The sequence below is a fragment of the Homo sapiens genome, chromosome 3 (assembly GCF_000001405.40).
Source record: "Homo sapiens chromosome 3, GRCh38.p14 Primary Assembly".
Classification (NCBI taxonomy): domain Eukaryota; kingdom Metazoa; phylum Chordata; class Mammalia; order Primates; family Hominidae; genus Homo; species Homo sapiens.
Genome location: NC_000003.12, coordinates 97,011,859 through 97,022,854, shown reverse-complemented (window position 1 = coordinate 97,022,854; position 10,996 = coordinate 97,011,859). Strand labels below are relative to the sequence as shown.

Here is a 10,996-nt window from a genome sequence, read left to right as displayed (position 1 = left end):
GCTAGGATCAGTCTTTGTTGGATTTTAACCAAGAATAAAGTGATTAAATAAGTGGATTTGAATCTTGACCAGCCTCTTTCAGTGACCCAAGAAGTGGAACACCTCTTAGGTGATTCTAAAAGAAAGTACATGGAGACCATTCAGAATTACAGGAATTAGGAGCCCAACCATGCAGAGGACATCTAGAGTAAGTGTCAGCCTGAGAAGCAACAACCAAGGAAAAGAAGACTGCAATCTGATTGAGTCAAGTAAGAAGATATTTACCCGCTCTTGTCATATCACAGATGGAGCTGGCATCTAGAAGTGGGAGTGAAAAGAGATGTCTTGAAGCCCACCCACAACCTAGTACTCTTAAAGCTATAAGAGCTGTCATCACAGATGGGAAATGTAGAAAAACCTTTGAGTATAATTTGAGATTGGCATTTTAAAATCAATAAATAATGAAATAAACTAATAACTCAAGTAGCTGAAAAGTTATAGCATCTGTCTAAGAAAGAGTCAAGGAAGATGCTACCTAGAGAGAAAAAGGGGAGAAGTTTCATTTTAATATAGCTGGGGTGATTACTGGAAAAAATATGATAACCTATTTAAATAATGACATGTTGTAACTCCTCAAGACACCAATTGCTATATTCAGTGGTATACTTAATATAATAATATTGTGTTCTGTTTTTTAGGATAACACCATGGATCATAAAGCTCAGGTGTCTACCTTTGAGAAAGGACACATTCAGAAATAGTTATGCCCATAAACCAGTATTAGAAGAAAACATTTATTCAACAAATGTTTTCTCAATGCTTCATTATATGTGTCAAGCACAATTCTGGTTGTATATAGTAATTTTAGTGATGAGTGAACAGGGTCAGACATGTCCTGTAGAGTTACAATACACTGTGATTAAGCAATAGTTGAGGGAGAACTCTCCAAGGAAATGATATTAGAAATAACACCTGAGTAATGAAAAGGCATCGACCATGTGATGATCTAAGTGGCAAAGGATAAGGCAAGGTGATATAGACTACATTGTGTCCCCAAAATGCATAGGTTGAAACTCTAACCCCCAATGTGATATGAGATAGGGCTTTTACAAAGGTTATTAACATTAAATAGGGTTATAAGGCTCAGGCCTGAAACCAATAGGATTGTTGTCCTGATAAGAAGAAGAGACAAGTGCACAAGCACAGAGGAAAAACCATGTGATGACACAGCAAGAATGTGGGCTTCTGCAAGTAAGGAAGAGCATCCCCACCAGAAACTAACCTTGCCATAACCGTGATCTTTGACTTTCCACCTCCAGAAATGTGAAAACATAAATTTGTGGCATTCTGCTAGGGCAGCCCTAGAAGACTCATACAGAAGAGGAGATACTTAAGACAGAGGAAGCAACAAATGCAAAGGCCCTAAAGGAAGAAATTTCGAGAGTTCTAAACAATGAGTGATGGGAATAACAGAGTAGTCACAGGAAGTAAGGCCAATGTTGGAGATGAAGGTGTAGGGGCAGGCAACGGCTAGATCCTGGAAGGAGAAGAGGTCATCCTGAGCCATGACCCTGAGTTTGGATATTATTTTAAAGATAAAACGAAGCAAAAGAAAGATAAAAGAAACGACCAGCTGCTTCTTAGAAAATGAATAGTTGGGGCACAAATGTGGAACTGTTAGGCTATACAGTCCAAGTTTAACCTATGAAATTAATAGTGATCAAGAGGAAGGAACACATTTGCAGTACATTTTAAACTTGCTGATGAATTATGAGAAAGTAGTGTTACCTGTTTGGCCACTCTGGCTGCAAGTCTTTTCATTCTAAGAATAATATAAGGACCACAATATTTAGATATCTATGCTGAAGGTTTTTTATAAGTTGTAATTCATTAAAATGAAGAAAACACTTTATCAACAACGATTTAACCCATTTATGCCAGAGGTTGACTTTTTAAAAAAAAAATCAAACCTTGGTGATGACTTTGAGCAGTAGGATATAAATAACTCCCACAAGCTTAGCGTTCCAATAACGGATCACTAGGCATAATAAATGGGTTAAGAACAGACTCTTAAGGGGAATATATGCAAATTATATAAAAACAATTTAAAAAAACCTAAAGGTGTGTCTATATTTTGAGATCCCCTTTAGCAAGTAAATTTTTATCCAAATGGCTAGGAGAAGTTACTGTACTGGACCAGTGGGAATCTCTTCCTGTGAAACCTTTTTTGGGTAACTCACAGAGACTGTGCTCCAGTCTGGATAATAGCATTTATCACATCATGACCCCTATTGCTGACCACAAAACTACAATTCTTAGTGTTCTGTTCTTGTTAGCATTGCTATAGCTCTGTCTCTCCATCCTGCATTTTCTTGACTCTTCATCTATGCTCCAACAGACTTAGGTACTCTGCAGGTCCATTTCAGTATTTTGTAAACTGGACTGCCCTAGAAATATTATTTTTCTTACTTGTCCAGAGTTACATAACATGTTGTCCTATTATTTCGCTATAATGACCTGATCTGTGAAATTTCTGCATGCATTATTCATCTTATTATTGTCAGTGAATCCGCATATATCTATATTTTTCATCTCTATCATTTATTCTGGGGATTCACTGAGGTCATCTGAACTAGCCTGCACATGGCAGGAAACTGCTTCAGTCTGTGGATCTTGGCTGGTTGCAATCTTCATTGCAGTTGGGGCTCAGTCTGCACCAGAAAACACTAGGAAAGCTCCTGGTATTGACAGAGGTATAATAGAGCAAGCAAAAAGAAGCTAGGCCACTTGAGGCATAGGCTCAGAACTGGCATACTACAACTTAGACTCATATTCCATTGGCCCAAACAAACCTTATTGCTAAGGCCAAAGTCAAGGAATCTGGAAAAGCACTTGTGCTTTAGTGGAAAAAACTTCAAAGTTATATGCGAAAAAGCATGAATACAAGGAGAAATGAAAAACTGGGACCAATGATTCAAATGACGACACCTATATACAAATACTACACACAGTAAACATCACAGACACAAACTTACAAAGAAAAGCAAAAATATAATAATTATGTATATGTTTTATATATACATAATATACACGTATATATTGTGTGTATATACATGTTCTCGAGTTTATTAAAAATCTGATAAATTAAATCTGTTCTATCAGGACTTCTGGCCACAGAGATATAACAGAGAATAAATATGTACTTACTGGTGAAACAACTAAGAAAAAGGAGGAAAACACATAATCCCCAAGACAAAGGAATAAAATGAAGTCAGCCCCAACATTGCTCCAACTTATGCATAAAGAAAGTGTCCAGGCTACAACACAGTGAGAAGGAAATGAGGTAGAGACAGGCAGTCTTTTTGTGTTGAGAAAACATAGCTGGAGTCACAGCTCCAGCCGTGAACTGAAAGAGTTCACAGGAGATAGATTACTAGAGAGGAGAGTGATGGCAAAAGAAAAAAAACTGCATTTGTGGAGTGCCTCCTCAAATACTTGACCAAGTGATGATTAGTACATATGTGTGAGAAAATTACCCAAGGCCACAGAAAGAAGCACCCAGAAGATTAGAAAAGTCTTGTATCAATATTAAGAAAAATTATCAGAGCATTAATAAACTATAAAAGAAGATAAATGTGGGCGGCAAGCCACCCAGGTGCCAAGGCAAGGGACCGAGGACACGAGCTGTTCCAGTATAATAAAATATAAAATAAGAATAGTTATATCAGATATAGATCTTAGATATGATTATATATGAATATCATTAATCATTAGTTTGTAACAATTACTCTTTACTCCAATACTATAATAATCCTCCCTCTATAATCATAACCTAGGAAAAACCAGGCCATACAGAGATAGGAGCTGAGGGGACATAGTGAGGAGTGACCAGAAGACAGTGTGAGCCTTCTGTTATGCCCAGACAGGGCTACCAGAGGGCTCCTTGCTCTAGCGGTAACGCCAGCGTCTGGGAAGACGCCCGTTGCCAGGCGGACCGTGGTCTAAGGGTAGCGTGTCAAGGAAAAACACCCGCTACTTAGCAGACCGGGAAAGGGAGTCTCCCTTTCCCCAGGGGAGTTTAGAGAAGATTCTACTCCTTCACCTCTTGTGGAGGGCCTGACATTAGTCAAGCTCGCTTGCGGTTATCCGGAGGCCTAACCGTCTCCCTGTGATGCTGTGCTTCAGTGGTCATGCTCCTAGTCCGCCTTCATGTTCCATCCTGTACACCTGGCTCTGTCTTCTAGATAGCAGTAGCAAATTAGTGAAAGTACTAAAAGTCTCTAATAATGGTGTAAGTTGTTTCTCTCTTTGTCTCCTCTCCCTCTCTGCCTCAGCTGCCAGGCAGGGAAGGGCCCTATGGCCAGTGGACACGTGACCCACGTGGCCTTACCTATCATTGGAGATGGCTCACTCTCCTTATCCTGCCCCTTTGTCTTGTATCCAATAAATATCAGTGCAGCCTGGCATTTGGGGCCACTACTGGTCTCTGCGACTTGGTGGTAGTGGTCTCCCGGGCCCAGCTGTCTTTCCTTTTATCTCTTTGTCTTGTGTCTTTATTTCTACACTCTCTCGTCTCCGCACATGGGGAGAGACCCACCGACCCTGTGGGGCTGGTCCCTACACATAAAGCGGTAAAAATGCATGCAAATAAAGACCCCAAAATAAATGGGAGACAGAAAAAGAGAAGAAATTCAGAATTCTATCAGGTAAATTTAACAAGTAGATTGAAGTAATTTAAAAGAATCAAGCAGAAATTCTGGAGCTGAAAAATGTGATGGACAAATGAAGAATGTATCAGAGTCTTTCAATAGCAGGTTTGATCAAGCAGAAGAAGGATTAGTGAGGTTGAAGGTAGGCTATGTGAAAATACATAGAGGAGACAAAAAAAAAAAGAATAAGAAACAGTAAAGCATGCCTACAGGATCTAGAAAATAGCCTCAGAAGAATAAATCTAAGAGTTACTTGCCTTAAAGAAGAGGTAGAGAAAAAGATAGGCATAGAAAGTTTATTCAAAGGGATAACAACAAAGAACATCCCCAACCTAGAAAAAGATGTCCATATCCAAATACAATAAAGTTATAGAACACCAAGCAGATTTAACCCAAAGACAACCACCTAAAGGCATTTAACAATTGAACCCCCAAAGATCAAGGATAAAGGATCCTAAAAGCAGCAAGAGAAAAGAAACAAATAACGTACAATGGAGCTCCAATACATCTAGCAGCATGAGCATTTCCTTCACTACCCTAAATGGTGTCTGTGTAGGTCACTTGCCCCATAAGTCCACTGGCTGTGAGTCCAGTTCAGCCCTAGATTCACCTAGAAGTTTCAGTCATTGGGGCCTAGACTGCCTTTCCCGTTTATTTGGGGCCCCCAAGCACTTTAGCATGTGCGGGTGAGACTTGCCAGAACTCAATTTTTTGACTGCCGGGATGGACAATTCCCTTCTAGCTGAGGCTGATTTAAATACTCCTTCTGAGGGTTGGCATCAGCTGTGTTCAGCCTGGTTTTGCTTTCTGCTATTACAAAGGACTACTGAGTTCAATGCAATGCCTCACAGTTGCTGCACTGCCCCTCTCCCAGACACACAGATTCTCACTCTGAGCCACACAGCCACTTCCAGGGAATGGAAGAGGTGTGCCATCAGTAAGTCAGGACTATATCCTACCCTCTTCCAGTGCCTCTTTCAGTAATATGAAATTAAGTCTAGGTACTGTGAATGCTCACCTGATTTTTGGTTCTTATGAAGGTGCTTATTTTGGGTAGATAGTTGTTAAATTGGTGTCCTTGTGGTAGTGGGATGATTGGAGGCTTCTATTTGGCCATCTTGCTCTGTCCCTCTATAAATGTTCTTAACAAATTTGTTTGTAACAGCCACAAACAAGATACTACCAAAATGTCCATCAGCAAATGAATGGATAAACAACTAGTGGTATATCCAAACAATGCTCTACTACTCAGCATTAAAAGTAATGAACTTTTAATACTGAGTACTGATACATCCAGTTACATGAACAAATGGCAAAATAATCATATTGAATTAAAGAGCAGGCAAAAGAGTGGATACTGCAGATGCCTGTGATAATTCTAGAACACGTTAACCAACATAAAGAGACAAGTGTATAGAGCCATAGTTATTGGCTGTACTAAGGGAAAGGAGAGAGGAATTACATAGGTGCGTAAGGAAAAATTTGGGAATGAAAGATATGCTTATTGTCTTAGTTGTGATGATGGGTTCACGGCTCTAGACATACGTCAAAACTTACCAAACTGCACACTTTAAAATACAGTTTATTTTATGTCATTATTACTTAATAGAGCTATTATAAATAAGTCTCATTTGGTCTCTTGATTTTAACTGAATTGTATGCATTTTAAAGTAAATACATAATTTATAATGTAAATAACTATTTATTATTAGAACTTTTTATATTTAATTTACTTTTTTTCTGAAATTGGAATGTTCACATTATTATAGTTAAATTTAACAGAGTGGGAGGGAATTTAAAGTGGAGATTCTGTCAAAACTTTTGAAATTCAGAGAAAAAGCTTTGAATCATTGCCAAAAATTCAGATTTTTTTCATTCAAATTCAGAAGTGTTGATTTTATTGTTGGAAGATACATTAATTGTTTAAAGTCATTACCAGAAACTTGTGGAATTTAACTTCTATATAAATAACTATCTGAATATACAAAGTATCAAACAAAAAATGCAGCCCATACCTACAGCAAGCTGCTTTGGTAAGACACATATCTTCAATGTTTCATTCACCACTTTGGGATTTTCTTTTTATATTTTAAGATTAATGAAGCTGTTGATTTTTTTTTTTTTTTCAGGAAGAATGAAGAATGGAAGAATGAACAAACTGCAGGTTAGCCAAATAGTGCAAGTAAACAAGGAAAGACAATAAACAAATAGCCAAAGCAATTCTGAAATGGATGTAAAAACACTGATTTTCCTTAAATGTTTTCTCATAATTAAAAAAAGTCACTATCCAGAGATCGTCAGCTATTAGTGAAGTTTTTGTTTCTAATTTTTAAATAAATTATCTGTTTCTGTGAGCCCAATGAACTTGATAACGCTCTCAGAGTCTGGGAGCCTTGTCAAATATGTGGGGAGCTGCGTCTTCTGGATGTGGAATCACGCTCTCCAGTGCTGTTCTCACCAGCAGTGTTCACTCCTCTCCTGATCCCCTTCCACTCTGTTATATTTGTATTTTAATGTGTCCCTTTTGATTATCACTGTGAACTCAGAGCCTTTCCCAAACATAATTTATTTTAAGTAATCATGTATATATATTCTTTTTAACATTAAAATTGGAGATGGGAATAGTTTTAATGGGTTTTTCCCCTTACAACACTTATTCTTTTATTCTAAAAGCATATTTAGTTTGACATTGAAAAGACAGTCCAGACAGACCCTCATAATTTTCCTGTATTAAGAAATGAAACTGGCTATAACCCAAACACTCCTGGATCTTTCTGGAAAAGAAAACACACACCTATGTTTCTGGGGTAAAGTTCCACTACTGCTTATAGGCCCTACTTAATGACAGAGCTGGACAAAATCATTTTAAGTTGTTACTTTATACTGATTTTACCAATTGAACATCTATTTCCCTTGCTTTTTCTTACAGTATAAGGTTTCAGCAACTAGTAAGATTTTCTTCTACAATACTTTATTGTATAATGTTACTTCTTTTTTCACACAGGCCTTTACTCCTAATTTCAATTTACAATTTTCTATGACAAGGGAGTTAAATTTGATCAAGAGGAGACAATGATTTTGGTAATTATTTTCTTCTCCAATGATAAAACTTGTGTCAATAATTTTCAGTTTAATTTACTTGTTGGTGGAGGGTTCATTAAATCTACTAAAGGAACCATTTCAATTAGAATTAACACTTTTATCTAGCTTACAAATATATATAGAAGACAAACCTTGATATGCTAATCTTCTGGGAAAAGAGGCTGTCACAGCAAATTTAAGACATTTTTTCATAACATACCACTACTCCATGGCCATCAGACAGCAAATAAACATGCATTGTTATGTTAAGGAAAATTATCTCAAAAAAGAATTTCTGATCCTTTAGGAATTCTTAAATACTTTGATCATCATCCCTTTGAAGTAATATTCATTTAAAGAAACATTCCACGTGCAATGCTGGACTCTTCAATGTTTCATTAGTAGGTACAGAATTATTATATGATATATTTTGTATTCACAGGCAGATCATTAAATTCTGCAAGCATTGCTAATTTATGTTTCAACATCGCAGTCCTTTCCTAAGAATGCCACGTATACATATACAGAAAGAACTTTAATGGAAGAAGAGATGTATTAAGCAATAATTTTCTCCATTTCCTCCAAATAAGTTTTGCATATTTATGCCATAACAGAAAGGAAGGAAAGAAGGAAAGGAAAGGAAAGGAAGAAGGAAGGTGGGAGGGAAAGAAGGAAGGAGGTGAAGGGAGAGAGGAAAGAAAAAGGGAGAAATGAAGGAAGGGAGGGAGGGAGAGAGGTAGGGAGGAAGGGAGGGAAGGAGGGAAGGCAGGAGAAAGGACGGAAAGGAAGGAAGGAAGTAAAATTCTGAAAAATCATTTTAATATTTAATGGTAAATAATTTTTCCAAATCCTTACTTTTGATGAATTAGAATGAATGAGTTGGATATCTATTGACCTATCTATCGCTCTTTTTATCTCTTTCTCTATCTGTTTATCTCTATCTTAAAAGACAAGAGGTATAAAATGGGAAAATATAGTCACATTTTACAGGAAAGTTTAATCAAGTACACAGTATAAGAAAGTTCAAATATAAATAAATATAATGATAAAATATTCACCATTCAGCATAAATTCAGTTCTTTAAAGGGCAAAAATAAGACAGATTGGGTGGTGGAGAGGGCAGAGAGAAAGAGAAGTACAAAAATAAGATAATGACAATATACAATAATGATAAGTTTGCAGGAGGCATTACTGAAGACCCATGCCAAAAACAAAAACATAAAACTCCTATGCAAAAACATGCTTCATAATTTGAATATAACTATTATTTTGGTTGAAAACAAAGGTTCTTGTTTATATCTTAAGCAGATAAGATATATTACTTATTTTAGAAATATCTTCATAAAAAGTTTTTATTCAAGATTATCAATTTTGGGAAAATTTCAAAGAACATCCATTTTAAACATATTTCATAACATAATAAGCTAAGTATACAAAGTGTATATACATTTATGGCCTCCATGTGAGTGTACATCCCTTCATATAAGCAACAGCACAATTATAAATAGTACTGTGTTCCAAGGATTTATGTATTGTTTGACACAGACTGTGATAATTAATGGCAATTCATGGTTTTTCAGGACGTAGTGGGTACACAGTAAATATTAGGCCTCCATCACACCTTAATAAACATATATCTAGGATTGCTAAAAGCAGAATATAATATAGATGTAGGGAGAAAAACATGAGAACCTACTGGAAATTTAGTCTATGGTTCACAGAAAATCTTTTTTTTTATCATTTCTAAGTAAAATATAATTTAAATTTTATTTATAATCTGATGCTGTGTATACTTTTACACAAAGAATATAAATCATTAACTCACACTTTTTTAAACAAGCACATTTATATAAGACCTCACACTACAACAATCGTAGAAGAAAATCTAAGAAATACCATTCTGAATACTGGACTTGAGAAAGAATTTATGACTAAGTCCTCAAAAGCAATTGTAACAAAAACAAAAATTGACAAGTGAGGCCTAATTAAGTTAAAGAGCTTCTACACAGCAAAAGAAATTATCAACAGGGTAAACAGACAACCTACAGAATGGGAGAGTATATTTGCAAACTATGCATCTGAAAAAGGTCTAATATTCAGAATCTGTAAAGAACTAAAACAATTCAACAAGTGTAAATAAATAAATAAACAAGCCCAGTAAAGTGGGCAAATATACTAACAGATACTTCTCAAAAGACAAGTAGCCAAGAAACATATGAAAAGTGTTCCACATCACTAATCGTGAGAGAAATGTAAATAAAAACAATAACGAGATACCATTTGAAATCAGTCAGAAGGGCTATTATTAAAAAGTCAAAAAAATAGTAAGTCCAGTGTGGTGGCTCATACCTGTAATCCCAGTACTTGAGAGGCCGAGGGGGGCAGATTGCTTAAGCCCAGGAGTTTGAGACAAGCCTGGGCAACAAGACAAAACCCAGTTTCTTTAAAAAAAAAAAAAAATACATATATATATATATACACACACACACACACACACACATATATAAATTTTATGTATATATATTCTAGTTTTATAATATATTCATATATAAAAATATATATGAATATACATACATATATATATGAATATACATAATTAGTTGGGCAGGTGGCACACACTTGTAGTTCCAGCTACCATGGAGGCTGAGATGGGAGGATCATCTGAGCCCAGAGTCGGAGATGTCAATGCTACTGTGAGCTGTGATCATGCCAATGCACTCCAGCCTGGGTGACAGAGTCAGACCCTGTCTCAAAAAAAAAAGCAAAAACAGATGCTGGTGAGGCTGCAAAGAAAAGGGAAAACTTATATACTGTTTGGGAATGTAAATTAGTTCAGCCACCATGGAAAGCAGTTTGTAGGTTTCTCAAAGAACTTAAAACAAAACTACCATTTGATCCAACAATCCCATTACTGGGTACATATATATTTTTAAATCAATCACTCTACCAAAAAGACATGCACTTGTAAGTTCATCACAGCATTATTTACAATATCAAACACATTGAATCAACCTAGGTGCCCACCAATTGTGTAGCAGATAAAGAAAATATGGTATATATGTACCATGGAGTACTATGCAGCCACAAAAAAGAGAAAGAAATAATGTTCTTCGCTGCAACATGGATAAGGCAGCAAGCCATTATCCCAAGTAAATTAATGCACAAACAGAAAACCATACTTACTTATAAGTAAGTATGTCCTCACTTATAAGTGGGAGTTAAATCTT

The 10,996-nt window shown here is 36.2% G+C and overlaps 1 protein-coding gene across 12 annotated transcripts in view; it reads right to left on the bottom strand.

The window, feature by feature from the left end:
- The window catches only part of EPHA6 (EPH receptor A6), a 946,939-nt gene that overhangs the window by 738,678 nt on the left and 197,265 nt on the right, over positions 1–10,996 (bottom strand). The window lies entirely within an intron of this gene.